Genomic DNA, 23390 nt, shown 5'->3' on the forward strand with positions numbered 1-23390 from the left:
TTTCAAAATCTCTTTTTAAAATTTTTTGAAAGTTTACTTTCAAGATCTCTTTTTAAAATTTTTTGAAAGTTTACTTTCAAAATCTCTTTTTTAAATTTTTTGAAAATTTACTTTCAAAATCTCTTTTTTAAATTTTTTGAAAGTTTACTTTCAAAATCTCTTTTTTAAATTTTTTGAAAGTTTACTAAAAGAACATCAACTCTAGCTGGAAATGTAAACAGGAATCATTTGGAGATGTGTGCTCACATCTCCAGCATAAGGAACTGTGTTCTACCCTAAATCAGCTAGGAAATTTCTTAAAGATTTGTGAGGGTTTTTTTTTTTTCAAAATCTCTGTTTAAGTGAAGTTACTTTTTTAGTAAATGCTTTTAGTAAACTTTCATAACCTCTTTTCTTAGATGTTTCTTTGCACTTCTGTAAGAAAGTTCATGGCAAGAGCTTGTTTAAGAATGTTTCGGGCCGGGGCACGGTGGCTCACGCCTGTAATCCCAGCACTTTGGGAGGCTGAGGCGGGCGGATCATGAGGTCAGGAGGTCGACACCATCCTGGCTTACATGGTGAAACCCCATTTCTACTAAAAATACAAAAAATTAGCTGGGCGTGGTGGCGGGCGCCTGTAGTCCCAGCTACTCGGGAGGCTGAGGCAGGAGAATGGCGTGAACCCAGGAGGCGGAGCTTGCAGTGAGCCGAGATTGCCTCACTGCACTCCACGTGGACTCCAGCCTGGGCAACAGTGCGACCCTCCATCTCGAAAAAAAAAAAGAATGTTTCTTCTATTACTGGAAGTGCTGACTACATGTCTTATGTTAAAGTTGCTTAAATGATCATATGATTTTTATTGGTAGTATTTAATTACGAGTTCCATTTGTCTTTTCTTTAATAGCCTCATTTAACCTCTGTCACTACAGTTGTTATTGCTATCATATGACTTGTAAGATAATTCCAAATATGTGGATAGAAAGTAAAAGTTTTAATGAGTCACTAAAAGATCCATTTGATGGTTCTTTCATGTTTTTGTCTTGACTTGCAACTCCAGAAGCTGCTCACCTTCATGATTTTGTCTGAAATCTGGATGATCTTTTGCCTGGATAATGGTCAACACTCAATTTGGCTTTGAAGAGTCAGGCCCACAATCTCAATTGTGATATAGAGGAGAGCCCACATTTCTACTCAGATTTTTGCTACAAAAATAGAATTCGTATCTAAAATAATAAAGAATTAATTGATATCTCATATAAGTTGAATCATGCAATATCTGTCCTTCTGTGACTGGCTTATTTTACTTAGCATAACTCCCTCTAGGTTCATCTATTTCACCTATATGATGTATCTAAGATACTTAAACGCATAGAAGCTGAAAATAGGATGATGGTTGCTAGAGGTTGTCAGGAGGGGAAGAATGGGGAATTGTTGCTTAACAGGTATAAAATTTCAATTATGAAAGATGAATAAGTTCTAGAAATCTTCTGTACAACACAGTGACTATAGGTAACAATATGGTATTAGACACAGTAATTTGTTAAGAGGATAAATCTCAAGTTGACTGTTCTTATCACAAAAAAAACAACATAAAAGACAATGACAAAAACAAAACATAAAAGAATACAAGGGCATTTTGGGAGGTGATAGATATGTTTAATAACTTGATTTCAGTGATGGTATCTCTGGCTGCATGAATTGGTCCAAACTGATCAAACTTGCAGTATGGTTTTTCTGTATATTAATTATACCTCAATAAAGCTGTTAAAAATTAATTCATGCTGATATAAACTTTAAAAAATTTGAGATGCAATTAAAATACAAGATTTAAAGAAATGTGAACACTGGTTGAAAATTGGTGAGAAAACATCTAATTCTGCCAGTCATCTCTGTTTCTCATTTATGTCATGCTACTTCTATCTAGATCAGAGCAAACTCATTCTGAAACTGTCTTGATTTTAGCTTCTGTCTTTCCAGGACCCATCGCCAGGAGCTGCTTTCCACTTATAGACACAAGTGGCTCACTCACTCTTCTAGGTGTTAGCTAGCAGGGGCAGAGCTTTCTCAGGTATTTTAGCATTCGTTGTGTTGGAAGGTCTCTGCTATGTTCCTGAAAATTCATTTTATCCCCTTTTTCCTTTGCTACATAGAAAGAGGAAGAAACCGTTATGTAGATTGTTCTGTGTGAATCCTCTTATGATTTTTATCACCATAAAACCTTTATGATTTTATCACCAGCTTCCCTGCAGTTTCATTTCACTTTTTTTTTTTACCTTATTAGTGTGTTATTGTTAATTTAAAAATAAAGAGATGACTCACTCATTAAACACTGCTCTGCTGGTTTAATGTTCCCCTAGCAATGGTCCTAAAAGGTTTCCAGATCATTTACAAACCTACATCTGATTCAATCTGATTTTAGTTACAGTCTGAGCTTATTATTACATACATTTTAAAGCATATTTAAACATAGCATCATTTGTAGTTTAAAAACAGAGATGTAAAATAACTTTGAAAAGAGGAAACTGAAGCTTTGTAATCATGTAGATACACTACCTGAATGGCTTACTGATAATTTCACTTTTTAAGTACATTTTACTAAAATTAGTCCGGATGTTTTTGTTTGGTTTGTAAGGTGTATAACTAAGTGTCAGTTCCTTAAGGGAGTTCAGTCCTCATGGAGTTTATAATCAAGTAAGAGAGTCAGGTGAAATGATGAAATGAAAACACTCATCAAATATAAATGACGTTCTTTAAATGCACCTCTGTTAGACTGACTCACTGAAATCAAACCTTGCCATTCCCTAGGGAACATTTTCTAATTTATGGCCAGGACATGCTGAATGCTCACAGCTAGTAGATTATTTTTTACTAAGTCTGCAGTGAGGCACCTGCTTGCCAAGAATTAGTTGTTGGTTCCCAAACCTATTTATGACAGTTGTATTTATTTTGGTAATAATATATTACAAGCAAATATTATAGAAACTAACGACATTGTGAATAAAAGAGTGTCTTATTTCTATGAAGACTAAGTTGAAGTCTTTGGAAAGGTTATAATAAAGGTAATAAAAATAATCAAATTATGTGTGGGCAAGATGACTACAAAAGATTAGAGAAAATCTTAAATTTTCAAAAGGTTATATACTCTGATTATTGTAAGAATCTTTAGATTTCCATTGTATTTAAATAAAATACTAAAGCCTAAGGATTACTGCAAATAAGATGTCTTAAGACTTCAACCAGCAGATTCATTCTTTAATTAAAAAAAGCCTTTGTTATATATAAGTACATTGGCAAATGTATACATTTTTAGATAAAATAAAAAAATTAAAACCTATATGTTTTTGACTTATCCTTTTAACAAACTTTTAAAATTAACTTACTATTAGCTTTGCCCATGTATGCTAAGAGGACTTTTACAATGACAAGTAAGAAGAATACATTGATGATACCTGTTTTGGTCCAGACATTTCCAGAGCCATGGAATAGCATGAAAAAAAAAAAATCTTCGAAATATAATTTATTCCTTCGAATTGGAGTCAAACTTAGAAGCATCCATCAATGGATGAAAGGATAAAGAAAATATGGCATATATAGACAATGTAATACTATTCAGTCTTAAAAAAGAAGAAAATTCTGGCGTTTGTGACAACATGGATGAACATGAAGGACATTAGGTTAAGTGAAATAAGCCAGGCATAGAAAGACAAATACTGGCTGGGCGTGGTGGCTCACACCTGTAATCCCAGCACTTTGGGAGGCCAAGGCGGGCAGATCACGAGATCAGGAGTTCGAGACCAGCCTGGCCAACATAGTGAAACCCCGTCTCTACTAAAAACTGGGCATGGTGGTGGGTGCCTGTAATCCCAGCTATTCAGGAGGCTCAGGCAGGAGAATCACTTGAAACTGGAAGGTGGCGCTTGCAGTGAGCTGAGATCGTGCCACTGCACTCTAGCCCAGGCAACAAGAGCAAAACTCTGTCAAAAAAAAAAAAAAGAAAAAGAAAGAAAGAAAGAAAGGAAGAAAGAAAGAAAGAAAGAAAGAAGAAAGAAATATAAATACTGCATGATCTCACTTATATGTGGAATCAAAAAAAGTTGAATTCATGGAAGTAGAGTACAATGGTGCTTACCAGAGGCTGGAGGGAGGTAGGTGGAATGGGGAGATGTTCAAAGGGTACAAAGTTTCAGTTAGACAGGAGGGATATGTTTTAGAGATTTATTGCACAGCATGGTGACTGTAATTAATAATGCATTGTGTATTTCAAAATTGTTTTAAAATGTAGATTTTAAATGTTCTTACTGCGAAAAACAGTATGTGAGGTGATAGATATGTTAATTAACTTGATTTAATTATTCTTATGTAAACCTATATCAAAACATCACATTGTACCTCATAAAATATATAAAATATTACTCATCAATTAAAAAATAGGTTCAAAGAGTTACTGTGAAGGCTTTGGTTGATAGTTTTCAAAGTCTTTTCATAATAATGATCTCATGTGGAATACAGAAGGACTCCTTCAACAGTTCACAGGAAAACAGCTGTGTGTTTCACAGGGAGGTAGGTCCTTTTAAGTTTGAAATGGAGTTACGTTGGTGGTGGGTGATTTGTTCTGAACGTAAATCTGGGATTGTTCCTAGATTATTAACTCCTCAATGACAGATGTTATTGTGTTTCTCTTGGCAAGTGGCAAAAGTGTTAAACGAGATTCATGAGAATTCCACGTTTAAGCATTATTAGCTTGACTCACTCAATGTCACCACTGTCAGCTGGATACAATGGGTAACACCTTCTTATATGGCAGTCTTGTTTTGAGATTGAGACAATGCAATAGAGATTAACATGAAAGACAGAAAGTCCTATGTACAATGATGTGTTTTATCTGCTGGGACTGGGGTCCGGTAGACATTTGACAACTTTTGTCCACACACAGATTTCAGAGAGGATGTTTCTTTGTTGTGTCCTGTCAACATATATGAGACAAACTGCAGATTCGTCTTAAGGGAGCTGAACATTAATTCATTGATAGCCCACTTTTTTCTTCCAACCTAGTGAGGCACAGTATTATTGTAGGGCATAATAAATTCCTCTTCAAAGGTTTTAGCCTGTAAATTGTTAAGTACAATGAGTTCTGAGATCCTCTCCAAAGAACCAATGTATCAGTATGTTCACCTCCCCTGTTCTTTGTTCTTCATTTGAAAGTTTAACTTCCTCATTCTCTTTGTCTCCTTGCCCCTAGTTTCAGCAAACAACCCCCTCCTAGCCTCTATCACCTGCTCCATTCTGAGTCACCCCTGGTCATCTGCTCTGACCTGAGTCATCCTGAGTCACCTGTTCTGTAACCGTCCTTTCCACTAAACTACTCACCCCACCACTCCAGCTTGTACCTCTGCTCTCTTTAAAATAGCCAATCAGAGTTAGCTTAGACTGTGCAGTCCAACCCTAGCCAATAGGTGAATGACACAGCAGTGGGGGCTACCTGCGTCAGGGATAAGAACTCCTTCCCCTCCCTTGTTCAGGTGTGCTTTGGCCATTACTCCATTCACGAGTTGCACCCTTCTATAGAAGTAAAAATTGCCTTGCTGAGAAAATTAAATTTATGTTTCAGTGCTATTTCTTTTGTGGCACTGAAAATTTGTTTCTCACACTATTTTCTCTATCTAGCTAAAAGAAAGAGTAGTCTGAATTGTCATTACTGTACAAGGGACTCTGCTGCCTCTTATAGCTATGTAAAGTTTTACTTTGCCTTCTGATATGCCAATTGATGCCTAAAAGTTCTTTTCATCTTATTTATTAATGATTTTGTCAAAACTACCTAAAAGTGTAGATTCTAAGATATGCAGTTGTATCCATTATAACTAGATGGATGATAAAGTCTCATTAAGAAAGACAATTGAAAACATGCTATCTGGTGTGATAAATACTTTTTTTTTGGAGGCAAGCATTAGCACTGAATTCTTTTTAGGTCTTTTTAGTTTTTTTTCTTTTGCTTTGTTTTTGTTAAATAGTGAAATTCTGCTATACATAAAGTATATATTGTAATATGCCTCTCTTCAGGAACCTCTTGCCTACTTCCTTAGCATCTAAAACTATTTCCACCAAAAAGATCAATTGAGATGAGAACATTAACTTATTTAGGGGGATGTATGTCAATGTTGCTTTCATAATAGGTGCTACTATATACTACTGCTTAGGATCATCAAAAAGTGAATTAATAATATCATAGTTAATATGGAGTTTTAGATTCTACCTAAAAACAAAACCTGTCATTTATTGAGAGTTTACAGTGTGCCAGGCTCTAGAACCTAAATAGATAATCTCATTTAACCCATGTATCAACCCTAAAAGGTAGGTATTATTTACAGGTAAAGAAACAGAATCATACAGGTGAAGTGACTCACTTAAGGTCAAATACATTAAAAAAATTATTATTACAATTTAAAAAGTAGATTTAGGGGAATGAATGCATTTTTGCTACATGGATATATTGTGTAGTGGTGAAGTCTTGGCTTTTGGTGTACCCATCACTTGAATAGTTTACACCACACCCAGTAGGTAATTTCTCATCCCTCACACCCCCACCCTCCCACCTTTTGTAGTTTCCAATGTGTATTATTCCAATTGTATGTCCATGTGTGTACACATTGTTTAGTTCCCACTTACAAGGGAGAATGTGAAGTATTTGACTTTCTGTTTGTGAGTTATTTCACTTAAGGTAATGGCCTCCAATTCCATCCATGTTACTGCAAAAGACACAATTTCTTTTATGGCTGAGTAGTATTCCATTGTGTATATGTACCACATTTTCTTTATCCAGCATCCATTGATAGACACTTAGATTGATTCCATGACTGCTGTTATAAATACTGCTGCAATAAACATACATGTGCAGGGGTCTTTTTTTTTTTTTTTTTTTAATTGAGACGGAGTCTTGCTCTGTTGCCAGGCTGGAGTGCAGTGGTGTGATCTCAGCTCACTGCAACCTCCGCCTCCTTCCTCAGCCTCCTGAGTAGCTGGGACTACAGGCATATGCCGCCACGCCCAGCTAATTTTTGTATTTTTAGTAGAGACGGGGTTTCACTATGTTGGCCAGGATGGTGTTGATCTCTTGACCTCATGATCCACCCACCTTGGCTTCCCAAAGTGCTGGGATTACAGCATGAGCCACCGTGCCCGGCCAGGGGTCTTTTTAATATAATGATTTAGTTTCCTTTGGGTAGATACCCATAGTGGGACTGCTGGATCACATGGTAATTCTATTTTTAGTTCTTTGAGAAATCTCCACACTGTTTTCCATAGGGATTGAACTAATTTACGTTCTCACTGACAGTGTATAAGCATTCCCTTTTCTCCTCAACCTCACCAATATCTGTTGTTTTTTGACTTTTTAATAGGAGCCATTCTGAGTGGTTTAAGTTGGTGTCTCACTGTGGTTTTAATTTGTGTTTCTCTGATGAGTAATGAGTGATGTTGAGCATTTTTTCATATGTTTGTTGCTGCTTGTATGTCTTCTTTTGAAAAATTTATGATTGTGTCCTTTGCCCACTAGAGTAGGAGGTCCCCAGGCCCCAGGCCATGGACTGGTCCATGGCCTGTTAGGAATCAGGTTGCACAGCAGGAGGTGAGTGGCCAGCAAGCAAGTAAAGCTTCAGCTCTATTTACAGCTGCTCCCCGTCACTCACATTACCTCCTGAACTCCGCCTCCTGTCAGATCAGCGGTGACATTATATTCTCACAGGAGTATGAACCCTATTGTGGACTGTGCGTGCAAAGGAACTAGGTTGTGTGCTGCTTATGAGAATCTAATGCCTGATGATCTGTCACTATCTCCCATCACCCACAGATGGAACCATCTCGTTGCAGGAAAACAAGCTCAGAACTCCCACTGATTCTACATTATGGTGAGTTGTATAATTGTTTCATTATACATATTACAATGTATTAATAATAAAGTGCACACTAGATGTAATGCACTTGAATAATCCCCAAACCATCCCCTCCTGCCCCAGTCCATGGAAAAATTGTCTTCCACAAAACCAGTCCCTGGTGCCAAAAAGGTTGGGGACTACTGCACTAGAGAATTAACATGGATTTGAATCCAAAACTGAGTCTTAAGAATGGCCTTTTAACCTAGTGGTTTCAATCCTGGCTGTACAGGAGAATTACCCAAGACCCTAGGAAAATTTCCAGGTCTGGGTAACATACGCTGAAATTATGAATTGATTTTAGATGAGCCACATGGTTCCAACGTGCAGTCAGGGTTAAAACTACAGATTAATTAATGCCTTTGATTCCCTCAAATTGATGACAGATAGGAAATACTGTCCACTTTTTCCTCCTCTCTGTGTCATCATTTCAGCAATTATGAAGAGAGCTGCAGTGGATGCGTTTTTCTGATTCCCACGTGTAGTCTATGCCTTAGAAGGAGCTTGTTAGCAAATTGCACAAGTAGAGCAGTAGCAAATAAATCCATTGAACATAAGATAACAAAAACCATATTATTTGAACTTCATACTTATTAACCTAAGTAGATACAGTAAGTAAAAATTTTAGCAAGCCAGAGGCTGGTATGAACTTCTATCAATTTTCTAGGTGAGGATTAATTTAAAAAATATATAAAGTCTATTGGTCATTGCTTTAACTTAAGCTAAATCTTGCTTAAAACATCTGCTAGAGAATTAACAGGACCATCCTTTCTGGAGCTGCTCAAGATCGGCTGAAGGAAGCAAAGCTACATTTCTTGGTAAGAGTATTAAGATGCATCATTCCTATGGTTTTAGAGCTCAGCATATCTAATCCACAAAAGCACCTGAATAAGGAATGTTTGATTTTGCCTTTCTGTCCTCAATATTCTGTTATCTCAAGTTGTTTTCCTGATATGTTAAAATGCTCACGCTGTTTTAACCTCCACTAATAGATATGTGAATTTGTAGAATATACAATTTTATCCTGATTTTCATGTGGAGTGAATGCTTTATCTACCACATGAGAAATATGCCTGACAGAATTTTCTCGCTTCTGCTACTGCATACTTATTCATACTTACTGACTTTTGTCTGGTAGACTTACTTGTTCCTGCTTATGAATTCAGTCTGCCCAGAGTTTGAACCTCATGTTGCACTGGGCAGGGAATAAAGAGCCTTTGTCTTAGGGAAGAAGAAAGTGCTCTTTTTATGCCTCAGTTCCTTTTTTCAGGTGTCCTGGGTGCTGCTACCTGGTACCTAGTGGCAGAACCCCATGCCATGGTTCATGTGGGTCCCAGAACCCTGAGACTAATTGGAAACCCATCATCATTCTTTCTTTCCCTTCGGTTCTTACAGGCTTTGGATATCTGTAAGAATTCCTCACCCTACCACCCCATTCCCAACCTCATTAACTAGATTCATGGTCCAGATGCCTTCTGGATTCCACTACCCAAATGAACTTGCATCATACATGTTTTTCTCTGTATTACTGACCATCTTATCCAGACTCTTAATACCTGCAAGGGCTCCCCTCCCCCGAAATACCCACCTTACTAACTGGATTCATAGTACTAGAGAACCCAAGGCTGACCTGTAGGGAGACAAGTTTTCTGATAACTGTCAACTCTGGCATTTTTGTTGATAACATTTTCAATGCTGAGGTGACATATGTTTACCTTGTAAAGTAGTTATAATCTCTGGCTTCTACCTACATAACATAAAGGGAATAGATTTCTAACAGCAGCAAAGTTATTATAAATTTTTTTATTAGAAATTCCTGATTATTTTGTAATTACCTTTTAGCCCAGTGTAATTAATTTTTTCATTAATTTCTTTGTTCCAAATCAAGAGATCAAAAGTAAAAGAAAAAGTAATATTAAGAGTGAAGCAACATGACACAAAAGATATATTAAAGTGTAATCAAAGCATTTTAATTAAAAATGACTTTCTGAAGCCTAATTTTAGCTTTTTCATTTCACCAGACCATGTTGTGATAATTATTTTAGAGGCCAAGTCACAGGTGAAGTATACCAAAAAATACCAAGTGCTTATTTAATAATTCATTCAGAAGTATATTAATGTCAAACATAAAGCTCAAGTTTTTCTCTGTGGTTCTCACCTCTTAAAAAATAAATTTATCCCAAATGTCTGTAAAATCTTTTCTTTCCACCTTATTCCTTGATCCAACATAGAAAAATAAGTTGCATTTTTTTTTGGTAGAAAATACTGTGAAAAGCCAGGTCATATAATATAAACTGAAAGTTTTTGCCGCCCAAGTTTTTCTTAGTAATGGAATTTGGTTTCTGTGTATTGCTTTTCAGCACATTTTATGTTTACAACTTTTGGGGATTTGAAGGAAATAATACATTTATATTTTCCATCATATTGTTTCTCATTTCCCCCCCTTTTCTGGGAAATTTCTATGATTTCATAAATTTTTAAATTATTATAATTATTATTTTGGAGAAGAGATGATTATTGTATGCTGACTTTTGAGTTCTTATTTTAGAGATACAATTTTTAATGCATCTGCAAAAATTAGTTAACAAATTTTAAAAGTAGTGAATGCTTTTTGCCCTCTTGTTTTTCTGTTTTTGTTTTGGGGGCCAATTATTTTCTTTTGTTGGGTTGCTTGTCATCAAGAGGGCCTTAAAGTTCCCCTCAGCTTGACTAAACTTTAGACATGCTTCTTGCCTTTAGGCCTCTAAACTCACTTTTCTTACTGCATTTACTTTAGAAAACTGGCAATTATAAATTATTTCCCTGTCCCTTTGAGATGCAAATCTTTAAAAAAGCTTCTTAGGCCGGGAGCGGTGGCTCATGCCTGTAATTCCAGCACTTTGGGAGGCCAAGGCAGGTGGATCACAAGGTCAGGAGTTCAAGACCAGCCTGGCTAACACGGTGAAACCCCGTCTCTACTAAAAATACAAAAAAATTAGCTGGACGTGGTGGCGGGCACCTGTAGTCCCAGCTACTCGGGAGGCTGAGGCAGGAGAATGGCATCAACCCGAGTGGCAGAGGTGGCAGTGAGCCGAGATCACGTCACTGCATTCCAGCCTGGGTGACAGAGCAAGACTTCGTCTCAAAAAAAAAAAAAAAAAAAAGCTTCTTATCACTTTTGCAACCCAGGACTGTTCCTCTCCAGAACCTGGGAGCCATCCTTTTGAAATGTAATCATCAAGAAAGATAGTGCCCCTATCTCCCAGGCTCAGTATTTGGGGAAGAGTCTAATTCTAATGGACACCTTGCTCCAAGTTATAAAACCACCTCTTGTCATGAAGATAGAACAGAATGTTTACCTTTTCTCTGGGTAAGGCCAATTAGCAAACACATCCCTCCATCCCAGCTCTCCTGCACCCTTTGTTTTAGTAATGTCGAGTTCAGACTAAGCTGAGCTCTCTCCCTTATTGCAATATCCTTGAATAAAGTCTTCCTTACTTGTTTAACATGATCTGGTGCTATTTTCGCATTGACACCGTTTTTTAATCAGTATATTGCTTTTTAAAACCAGCTTTAATTGAGGTATCACTTACATACCACAAATAGCATTTACCCACCTTCAGTGTCAAATTTAATGTTTTTAAATAATTCCCCAACTTTGTGCAGGCAGCCTGCACCACAATTCAGTTTTAGAACATTTTTGTCATCCCCAAACAGGTCCCTTTTTCCAATTTACAGTGAATCTATGATAGTCAATTATTTTTATGCTTTTGTTTTTCTTTATATGTCTGGGAATTCTTGGTTGTTATTTTTTACTTAAATGGGAGGAGGTAATATTCCAGGTACCCGGTGTGGATTTCATTTGCCTTGCTTCCCCTAAAGAACTCTCCCCTGACTGGGAAGTCTGATTGACAGTTCTCTGTAAGTGGGTAGGGCTTGTCACCTGGCAGGGTTTTCTTCAGGTTGAGCAGGTGGGAAGCCAGCTATAAAGTTGTAGGACTCTAAATGCTTTCTGTTGGTCATCAGGACTTTGTACTAGCAACATCTAGTTTTTCCCAGGAAAATGTTCACTTTTAACACCAATTGTTTTACCTGGGATATAGAAGGAAGGGTGTGTGTGTGTGTGTGTGTGTGTGTGTGTGTGTGTGAGAGAGAGAGAGAGAGAGAGAGAAAACATGGGTAAGAACAGGTAAGAACTGGCACAATTGTTCTGAGGACATAATTTCAATTACTTCACCTGTTTTCAGCCTAACTTCATGCTCACAACTGATCAGTTGTTGCACCAGGAAAATCAGCTACCACCTCTATGCATCTCCCTCTCACATATATTTGATCTGAGACCTTCAGATCTTTCCCCCACTCATTTGTTTGTTTTTGTTTTATTTTATTAATATTAATTGAGCAACAAAAAATTGTATTTATTTTTCATGGACAACATATTGCTTTGAAATATGTACACATTTTAAATACATGTATACAATATAATGTATGCATTGTAAAATGGCTAAATTGAGCTAATATACATAAGTATTACCTCACATACTTTCATTTTTTTTTTGTGGTGAGAACACTTAAAATCTACTTTTTTGGCAACTTTCAAAATTTTAAAAAAGTCATTCAATACTCTTTGTTTTACCACATCTTCCAGAAGTGTGTAAAAATCTCTAGCCTGCTGATGCTGCCCCCTGTTTTCTTTACTGTCATAATTTATTTTTTATGTTTCTTTACCATAACTTTAAAATTTTCTCAAGAAAGTCAGGAGGCAACTGCATGTGCTACTTAAAGAAAGAGGAAAGAAATTAAAGAATTAAAGAAATTAAATTAAAGAAAGAATTAAAGAAAGAGGAAAGAAACATGAAAGGTGGTTTGCCAGTCAAGACAGGTTTATTTTAGAGAAAACGAACCAGAGAGGAGCTTCTGGCCAAGTTAGGTCAGAGGCACACTCTTTTACAGACTGAGAATTTTTAAGGATTCAGGGTGGGAGAGTTTATCAGAGGCTTGGACTGCTTCTGTGTCCCTTTGTTGTGCTTATTTGGGAGGGAGAGTTGTGTGTCTGTTCCCATACACTTTTCTGCAGCTGCAGGCATACCCCCGAGTCTGCTTTTAGCTTTCCTATTTCAGTGCATCCTGAAAGGAAAGGAATGTGCTTATTAAGGCCCACTGTTTTGCTGGGGCCCATTGTATGAGGGAAGTTTGGCAGTTACTCAAGAGACTCTCCCCCACCTCCCTCTGTGCCCAAGCTGTCTTATCTGTGTTTTACTGTCTGCTCTTTCTGGCTGCTTATAGTTAGAAGAGAAGTGATTTCCTTGAAATGCATGAGGCTAGAAAGGGAGCTGGAACTTAAAGTAGTGGTGTTTGTCCGAGATGACGGTGCTCCTGCTCTGTCAACTACCATCTTGAATTGCAGCTCAGTTTTCTTCTAAGAAATAATACCAAAGTTGGATTGTAGTTATTTCAATAGAGCTATCTCTGTCCAGTAATATAGTGGCTAGGCAGTTTGCTGAAAGAATGAATAAAATACAAATACATCTCCTTAAAAACATGGCAGAGATGACAAGATAATACAAAATTTTAGGGCCAAAGTCAAATTGAAGACAGAAGCCCAGGGAGATAAGTATAGCAATAGAGTTGTTTTTGTCAGAAGGGGACTTGCCAAAACCTTGATTTTTCTAATCTAGTGGAGTATGGGATCAAAAGAACAGAATTCCCTCAAAAGACAAAGACCAGAGTTCTTCTAAGTTGAGGAGTCTGATAGGAGAACTCCAGAAAGCTGAACTCAGATGGCATTTGCCTCATTCTGTGAGGAACAAGAGGAAAATCTCCCTTTCCACCTTCCCTACCTTAAAGAGATTATAGGAATTTAGTCTTGATGCTTCAAAGAGCGGGAGTGGGATGGGAAATTCAACTGAAGAGTTGTAACTCTAAGCCAGCATGGATTTGGTGTCCAAAGATGTATATTTTGGATTGTCCATAAAATCCCAAACCATAAATTTATTGTATTTCATTGATTCTGTCATGCACTTAATCCTCCCTGCCCCCACATTTTACATCAAAATGTACCCAAGGATCAACAATGTCTTCAATTCAATGAAATATTGAACTGTAAAATTTCCTGGTGGAAGCATAGACGAACCTTCTCTGGAGTAATACAACTTCATCTTCATCTCAGAGAATTCACACAAATAATTTTTCAGGAAAATGAGTAGCTCCCTATAAACAATTACTGACCATACAAGAAATGAAGCATAGTAAGTGTGGTAGCCAGCAGAACAAAACAGCCAGGAGGAACATATTCTATAAATTAATTAGGCTATTAGAAATTGACAGATTAAAAGAGGAAGAAACTTTTGATAAGTATGTTTAAATAAATGATAGACAAGTCTGAGAGTATCTTCAGATAGGAAATTGTATGTATAAAGACCTAACAGTTTGAAAATGAGTCAAGTAGATAACCCATAAATGATGTGAATTTCTAAATTTACATAGTGTTTTTCATTTTTCCCTTAATGATGACAAAGTGAGATGGTTATGTTTCCCATTCTGTATATTTGTGGCTTCCTAAATTTATGGTACAAGATCTGAGGATTTGCCTTTTGAAGACAACTTTTATACATTTCATGTATGTTAGTAATCGTAACGCAATCCCTCTCTGTGGAAAACTTTATTATTTCTTATTCTTCTGTGGAAAAAAATACTTTTTATATTTTAGGGTCATATCTTCACTATGGGCTGTTTTGCTCATTTTTTCTGTATTCTTATCTACCTCCGAAGTGTGAAAAATGGCCTTGTGACTTGTTAGTTGGGATTCTGGGAGCATTGTTTCTTCCATAAAGGAAATATTGTTGACTAAGCATAATATAGATTATACTCTACCTATGTTATACATTGACCCTCAACCCACTAACCTAGAAATGTGCACACATTGCGTGGGAGGTGATATTCATAGCTGTGCTTTGAGGATGGTGCTGGTTATAACATAAACCAGCACCACCCTGGTTATAACATAAAAATAAAGGAGGCTTCTTTTCTTGGGTGTTGGTTTTCTTCATTTGAAACTCCAGCCCTAGAAAACTCATGCCTTTGTTCAAAAATGTGAGTTGGTGACACACTGGCTGTTAGGTAGATTCAGTATAGGACAATTATGCACCTGTTGTACTGCTGGTGTTTTAGTAGCAGCATTTTGCATATGAACTATAGCATTTCAAAGAATCATTTTGATTTACTTTCATTTCTGACTCCTTTTGTACTTGAAAATAATACAAAAAATGAGAAATCTCTAAGAATTTGTTTTTGTCATTAAGGATATTTCTACGTATTATATTTTGCAGAAATAACTTTTTACACAAGTCTGTTTCTGTAGAGGCAAACATCTTTGTAATCTTCTTTGAGTTGAGGGATATGATTTGTTTTCATACCTTCCCTGTCAGTAACTGCTCCAGCATAACAGTATGAGTCAAACTCATTCCCTGAAACTCTTTTTTTTTTCCTTAGGCGTTGATGGGTGAATGTGAAAATTGTACATCTCTGATGGCTGCTAAATCTCTTTGCCTTTCTAAATGACAAGGGGTAAATGGAATTTGTTTTTCCCTTAATTTGACAGCATTTCCTTGTCAAAGGGTTCCTTCTTAGATAATTCGATAATTAGGTGACAATTACAGCAGATGTTTAAAAAATTTTCTTTGGGGGTTTCCAAAGTTTTTTAGACCTCAAAGTCATGTCATCCACCATAGCCACATAAAGACAAAAAAAGTGGCTGGGAGAATGTAGGATGGATGAGCTATAGCTCATTAGTACTATGCTTTATATCCAATCAACTGAAGCCACAAGGCCAAAGATTGATACTGCTGCTGACATGAATATCTGTGAAGATGGAATACCCTAAGTCAGGGTTTATCAACAGTGGTACTACTGATATTTTCGACTGGATGCGTCTTCATTTTGGGAAGCTATCTTGTCCACTGCCGGATGTTTAGCAGCATTGCTGGCCTCTAACCAATAGATTCCTTCAATTGTGACACTCAAAAAGCTTCTGGACTTTGCCAAATATTCCCAGGGGTGGGGCGAGGGGACAGAAATTGTGCCTGGTTGAGAACCACTGCTCTATGTCACTGTCATCAATCCTGGTCTTATGCAAGCTTGGGAAGAGAGATACAGAGAGGCATCAAGAATAATAGTCCATGTGATTTTAGTAGGCTAGGCTGAGATCGATGACTTCGTAAAGTGTCAGCTTCATCTTGTTTTATTTTTTATGCTAACAAATTTCTCGTTTCCTCCTGTAGTTTTCTGGTTCCTATGAACAGAAGCAGAATTTTTTCACAACAGAAAGTGAAGCAACGAAGTTTTGAGGGTTGCTCCTCATTTAATGGTGAGTCAAAGAGGCAGCATAGAGAGGATATATGAAGGTTAAGAGCTAAGGATGTGGATTCTGGAGCCAGACTGCCTAGTTTGGAAGCCAGCTCCCCATGTTAGCTGGCTGATCTTGGCAAAGCACTCACCTTCCGCTTGCCTCTACCAATAACATAGGGATAATGACAGAGTCAGTTTAAGGAGTTGTGAGGACTAAATGAGATAATATGTATAAAATGCTTATAAGAGCAGTTAGTGCATAGAAATGGTAGTAGATAAGTATTAAAGGAGATAAAAAGGTGGTTTTTTTTCCAGAAGAAAAAGGATACTTAAGTTGATTAGGAATTTTGTTGTCTGTAACTTCATTAACATAATCAACCCATTCCAAGTTAACAAGCTCTTTGACAACGACTGATTTAACGTTACCATCATAGCAGACGTGCATCACAAATGAAGTTTGATGTGCCTTAAGTGAATCCGTGATTCTTAAAACACAAAAAAGTGATTACTTACAGTTTCCTGATATAAAATAGTTGGCCCATAAATGTAAGTTAGTCCTATCCTCAAACACTATTAGATAAGGATTTGATTGAAAATTTGTCTTCACTTGCTATAACCATCAAACCTGTACCGTATCTTAGTCTTAACCCAGAGATGACAAATACTTATTAGGCACTGATGCAGGCAGGTGAGCCCCGACATGGAGTTTAGCTCATGAGAGGGCTTGGTTTTGCCCAGGAAAGAATTCAAGGACAAGACAGAGGTAGAAGAAAACAGCTACTGAAGAGGCAGTGCTACAGCTCTAGCAGTGGGTTCTATGGCTGCTCTTGCAGGGCAGGGTTACCCCTTAGGCAGAGACTAGCAGCTCAGGTCAGTTTTGCAGTCATATTTTTATCCACTCTTAATTGCATGCAGATTAAGGAGTGACTTATGCAGAAATTTCTAGGGAGGGGGTAGTACCTTTAGGTCATTAGGTCACTGCCACAGAAGGGGGTGATAACCACGGGGTGTTGCCATGGCAAGAGTAAATTGACATGGCACACTATTGGACATGTCTGATTGAAAGCTGCTTTGCCCAGGCCCTGTTTTAGCTAGTCCTCAATCTGTTCCGTGTCCAAGCCCCACCTCTGGAGTCAAATCCCACCTCCTACCTCAGCCCCTTGCATGTATTAGGTTAGTACAAAGGTTATTGTGTTTTTTGCCATTAATAGCAAAAACTGCAATTACTTTTGCACCAACCTATAGTTATAAGTATCTGGCCAGGACATCCAAGCCAAAGGAGCACAGCACACATATATGAAAGCTAGAGGGGGCCATCCTGCGGGAGGATCAAGTAAAGAACACACACAAAGAAGACTTAACTAACAGTCACTCGAATCGTGAGTCCACTGAAGTTCTTTTTATTCAGGGTTAGAAACACATAGAGAAATTCAGCTATAACACGAAGCACCATTTAACTGCAGCAATATAATATTTTTGCAGTTTAGGTTTAAAAAATAGGTAGATATCAAGTTTTTATTATTTTTTACTATTGTAAGTACAGATACTTGGGATTCATAGAACTGGCAACTATGCCTGGACTTCTGTTGGAAGCAGGAATTCATGCTGAGTTCCATTCCTTTTCTAAAAGAAGTTATAAAAAGCCCAAGTGAAGTCAGATATTATGTGGATATTTTTTTTTATAGCAACAGTAAGTAACTTCCACTTTAAGATCCTGATGGTGGATATGATTTTAAAGTATGAAGGAAATACAAAATGTCTAAAATATTTCAGGGCTTAAGGGCATGAATGAAAAGAATTTGGTGTGTGGTGTGTATTGAGTCAAGTTTAGGTAAAAAACAAAGGCATCAAGACCTCCGCAAGGCTCTTCCTGTGGCATGAATCACACAGTAGGGAGCTTACCTGGGCACCTTTCTTAAAGGTATGCCACTTGTCTGTGATAGGAGTGCTTGTTGGGTTGGCTTTTGTTCAGTTAATCCTCTAAAACGATTTCAAAGGGGCTTCTGAATTTTTTGTTTTGTTTTACTTTTTTTGAGACAGGTTCTCGCTCTGTTGCCCAGGCTGGAGCGCAGTGGCATGATCTCTGCTCACTGCAACCTCCACATCCTGTGCTCAAGTGATGCTCCAACCTTGGCCTCCCAAGTAACTGGAAACACAGGCGTGTGCCACCATGCCCAACTAATTTTTGTATTTTTTGTAGAGACAGGGTTTTTGCATGCTGTCCATTCTATTCTCAAACTCCTGTGCTCAAGCGATTCTCCTCCCAAAGTACTGGGTTTACAGACCTGATATTTTTAAAGACAACAGAAAAGCATAGGTTTGGGAGAATTAAACGTGTGCTAATAGAAAAGTATTACACAATTACTAGTTTACTAAACAATTAGCTATATACACATTTGCTATGAGTTGTACTTTACAAAATTAGTTGAGTCTAAAAAACACACGCATGTATGTTTATTTTTCTCTAAATGAAACTAAATATCCATGCTCCCCTTTCTTGCTGTCTTCAAATTAGTGGAAAATTCAACTTGAGTCATTTTAGTGCACATTCTCTCTCTTATGATGGTTATGTATTAATCCACATATACCTCTCAGGAGGTGTGAGTTTACTGGGAAAACAGGTGAATGCCTCTAACTGTCATCCCCTCCTAAATGCCCTCTGTAGATTCTTGAAGGTGAACAATTTCACTGCCGCTGTGCCAGGCAGGGCATATGGGCTCTGCTGAGACTGGGACCCTGGTGTGCAAGGTCCAGCCCCAGGATCCGATATTACTCTTCTGTGTCCTACATTTTTCTCTTACGACATTTATCCTAACACAAGGGTGTTTTTATTTTCTCTGTATGCAATACCCTGCTGTTAATTATTACATAAGTCTTTATCAATCACACTTTATAGCTTTAACTCCCCAGGTTCCTAATTGGTTACTAAAGGTTTGTTCCTCACTGCAGGCTCTGAAAATGCCATCCACACTGCCAGTTACCACCTATGGCTGTGCTCTCTAAAATCTCTCTTAGCTTTGTCTACCCTTTTCTTTACACTAGCGGTAAGAGGTTGTTATAGATAGGGTTGGGTTTTTGGCAGGAAAAGAACAGCTTCCAGGCTAAGAAATACCTGAAAAAATTCACCCTGTGTGCCAAAGCCATTTCTTTTGGATGCCTCCAGTGTCAAGCCAGTGTCAGAGCTATTGCGGCGGAAGCAGCCACATTCATTGCTTCATACGTTCTCTGGATGATATTCAAATGAACAGGACAAAGCTTCATGAAGAAAATCCAGGGTTCAGTTTTCCATTTACCAAAAAGGCTTGAATGACAGATGTCCACATTTTCCTAATTTTTCTTTTTGCAGTATTTTATTATTTTCTCTCAACACGTTTTTTGTTTGTTTTTACTTAAATCTTCAATCTCCTATACATTTTTCTCAAGGGTATAGCCTAGTCTATTTCCTTCACTTAAAAGAGTATGAAGTTGGCCGGGTATGGTGGCTCACCCCTGTAATCCCAGCACTTTGGGAGGCCAAGGTGGGCAGATCACCTGAAGTCAGGAGTTCGAGACCAGCCTGGCCAACATGGTGAAACCCCGTCTCTACTAAAAATACAAAAATTAGCCAGGCATGGTGGTGGGTGCCTGTAGTCCCAGCTACTCGGGAGGCCAAAGCTGGAGAATCCTTTGAATCCGGGAGGCAGAGGTTGCAGTGAGCTGAGGTTGTGCCACTGCACTCCAGCCTGGGTGGCAGAGTGAGACCCTGTCTCAAAAAAAAAAAAAAAACCCAAAAAGTATGAAGTTGTATGTGTTTGATCTCTTGAGTGACTACATTGCAATGAATGTTGAAATAGGCTGCTGTTTAAATCTTAATTCACATCCCTTGCAGGGGAATGGGGGTACTCATTGAATTAAAGATTAAACTTATAATGAAAGACTATTCACTTAACAAGTATCACACCAGCACAAGATGAAGCAAAACTAGGCTATTTAGTTTGCAATGTGCTCGTCTTCGTATTAGAACACCTCTACTTAAACACAAATTATTATGCTGATAAATATCAATCATTAAAGAGGCCACCTTACTTTCTACTATATTAAGCTTATTATCTTACGTAGCACCTGAAATACTTGAGGTCATATTTTTATTGAAACACATATACATGGGTTTTTCTTTTTTTATTATTATACTGTAAGTTCCAGGGTAAATGTGTACAACATCAGGTTTGATACATATGTATACATGTGCCATGTTGGTGTGCTGCACCCATTAACTCCACATTTACATTAGGTATATCTCCTAATGCTATCCCTCCCCCTTTCCCCCACCCCATGACAGGCCCCCATGTGTGATGTTCTCCACCCTGCATCCAAATGTTCTCATTGTTCAATTCCCACCTATGAGTGAGAACATGTCGTGTTTGGTTTTCTGTCCTTGCAATAGTTTGCTGAGAATGATGGTTTCTATCTTCATCCATGTCCCTACAAAGGACATGAACTCATCATTTTGTATGGCTGCATAGTATTCCATGGTGTATATGTGCCACATTTTCTTAATCCAGTCTATCATTGATGGACATTTGGGTTGGTTCCAAGTCTTTGCTATTGTGAACAGTGCTGCAATAAACATACAGTGCATGTGTCTTTATAGTAGCATGATTTATAATCCTTTGGGTATATGCCCAGTAATGGGATGGCTGGGTCAAGTGGTATTTCTAGTTCTAGATCCTTGAGGAATCACCACACTGACTTCCACAATGGTTGAACTAGTTTACAGTCCCACCAACAGTGTACAAGTGTTCTTATTTCTCCACATCCTCTCCAGCACCTGTTGTGTCCTGATTTTTTAATGATTGCCATTCTAACTGGTGTGAGATGGTATCTCATTGTGGTTTTGATTTGCATTTCTCTGATGGCCAGTGATGATGAGCATTTTTTCATGTGTCTGTTGGCTGAATAAATGTCTTCTTTTGAGAAGTGTCTGTTCATATCCTTTGCCCACTTTTTGATGGGGTTGTTTGATTTTTTCTTATAAAGTTTTTAAAGTTTTTTGTAGATTGTGCATATTAGCGCTTTGTCAGATGGATAGATTGAAAAAATTTTCTCCCATTCTGTAGGTTGCCTATTCACTCTGATGGTAGTTTCTTTTGCTGTGCAGAAGCTATTTAGTTTAATTAGATCTCATTTGTCTATTTTGGCTTTTGTTGCCATTGCTTTTGGTGCTTTAGTCTTGAAGTCCTTGCCCATGCCTATGTCCTGAATGGTATTGCCTAGGTTTTCTTCTAGGGTTTTTATGGTTTTATGTCTAACATTTAAATCTTTTTTTTATTATTATACTTTAAGTTTTAGGGTACATGTGCACATTGTGCAGGTTAGTTACATATGTATACATGTGCCATGCTGGTGCGCTGCACCCACTAACTCGTCATCTAGCATTAGGTATATGTCCCAATGCTATCCCTCCCCCCTCCCCCCAACCCACAACAGTCCCCAGAGTGTGATATTCCCCTTCCTGTGTCCATGTGATCTCATTGTTCAATCCCCACCTATGAGTGAGAATATGTGGTGTTTGGTTTTTTGTTCTTGCGATAGTTTACTGAGAATGATGTTTTCTAATTTCATCCATGTCCCTACAAAGGACATGAACTCATCATTTTTTATGGCTGCATAGTATTCCATGGTGTATATGTGCCACATTTTCTTAATCCAGTCTATCATTGTTGGACATTTGGGTTGGTTCCAAGTCTTTGCTATTGTGAATAATGCCGCAATAAACATACGTGTGCATGTGTCTTTATAGCAGCATGATTTATAGTCCTTTGGGTATATACCCAGTAATGGGATGGCTGGGTCAAATGGTATTTCCAGTTCTAGATCCCTGAGGAATCGCCACACTGACTTCCACAATGGTTGAACTAGTTTACAGTCCCACCAACAGTGTACAAGTGTTCCTATTTCTCCACATCCTCTCCAGCACCTGTTGTTTCCTGACTTTTTAATGATTGCCATTCTAACTGGTGTGAGATGGTATCTCATTGTGGTTTTGATTTGCATTTCTCTGATGGCCAGTGATGATGAGCATTTTTTCACATGTTTTTTGGCTGCATAAATGTCTTCTTTTGAGAAGTGTCTGTTCATGCCCTTTGCCCACTTTTTGATGGGGTTGTTTGTTTTTTTCTTGTAAATTTGTTTGAGTTCATTATAGATTCTGGATATTAGCCCTTTGTCAGATGAGTAGGTTGTGAAAATTTTCTCCCATTTTGTAGGTTGCCTGTTCACTCTGATGGTAGTTTCTTTTGCTGTGCAGAAGCTCTTTAGTTTAATTAGATCCCATTTGTCAATTTTGTCTTTTGTTGCCATTGCTTTTGGTGTTTTAGACATGAAGTGCTTGCCCATGCCTATGTCCTGAATGATAATGCCTAGGTTTTCTTCTAGGGTTTTTATGGTTTTAGGTCTAACGTTTAAGTCTTTAATCCATCTTGAATTGATTTTTGTATAAGGTGTAAGGAAGGGATCCAGTTTCAGCTTGCTACATATGGCTAGCCAGTTTTCCCAGCACCATTTATTAAATAGGGAATCCTTTCCCCATTGCTTGTTTGTTTTTTTCAGGTTTGTCAAAGATCAGATAGTTGTAGATATGTGGCATTATTTCTGAGGGCTCTGTTCTGTTCCATTGATCTATATCTCTGTTTTGGTACCAGTACCATGCTGTTTTGGTTACTGTAGCCTTGTAATATAGTTTGAAGTCAGATAGTGTGATGCCTCCAGCTTTGTTCTTTTGGCTTAGTATTGACTTGGTGATGCGGGCTCTTTTTTGGTTCCATATGAACTTTAAAGTAGTTTTTTCCAGTTCTGTGAAGAAAGTCATTGGTAGCTTGATGGGGATGGCATTGAATCTGTAAATTACCTTGGGCAGTATGGCCATTTTCACAATATTGATTCTTCCTACCCATGAGCATGGAATGTTCTTCCATTTGTTTGTATCCTCTTTTATTTCCTTGAGCAGTGGTTTGTAGTTCTCCTTGAAGAAGTCCTTCACATCCCTTGTAAGTTGGATTCCTAGGTATTTTATTCTCTTTGAAGCAATTGTGAATGGGAGTTCACTCATGATTTGGCTCTCTGTTTGTCTGTTGCTGGTGTATAAGAATGCTTGTGATTTTTGTACATTGATTTTGTATCCTG

At 37.8% G+C, this 23390-nt stretch overlaps 1 long non-coding RNA gene across 1 annotated transcript in view, besides 3 other annotated features; it reads left to right on the forward strand.

Annotated features, from left to right (window-relative positions):
- Window positions 2209–2348: an enhancer, noted in NCBI's record as "active region_22147". NCBI's record gives its function as "activates an Ori minimal core promoter by ATAC-STARR-seq in GM12878 lymphoblastoid cells {active_cell/tissue: GM12878}" and the evidence as "EXISTENCE:reporter gene assay evidence [ECO:0000049][PMID:35858748]".
- Window positions 4359–5558: an enhancer, noted in NCBI's record as "P300/CBP strongly-dependent group 1 enhancer chr4:171259917-171261116 (GRCh37/hg19 assembly coordinates)". NCBI's record gives its function as "activates an origin of replication core promoter dependent on BRD2, BRD4, P300/CBP, MED14 and CDK7 cofactors, with strong dependence on P300/CBP, by STARR-seq in HCT116 cells {active_cell/tissue: HCT116}" and the evidence as "EXISTENCE:reporter gene assay evidence [ECO:0000049][PMID:35650434]".
- Window positions 5406–5455: an enhancer, noted in NCBI's record as "active region_22148". NCBI's record gives its function as "activates an Ori minimal core promoter by ATAC-STARR-seq in GM12878 lymphoblastoid cells {active_cell/tissue: GM12878}" and the evidence as "EXISTENCE:reporter gene assay evidence [ECO:0000049][PMID:35858748]".
- LINC02512 (long intergenic non-protein coding RNA 2512) overlaps window positions 8414–23390 on the forward strand; it is a 56319-nt gene continuing 41342 nt past the window's right edge. The window contains exons 1-2 of the long non-coding RNA XR_001741530.1: window positions 8414–8722; window positions 16163–16248. This is a non-coding gene — a long non-coding RNA (long intergenic non-protein coding RNA 2512). The remainder of the gene's footprint in view (window positions 8723–16162; window positions 16249–23390) is intronic.

Source organism: Homo sapiens, chromosome 4, assembly GCF_000001405.40.
Source record: "Homo sapiens chromosome 4, GRCh38.p14 Primary Assembly".
Lineage (NCBI taxonomy): Eukaryota > Metazoa > Chordata > Mammalia > Primates > Hominidae > Homo > Homo sapiens.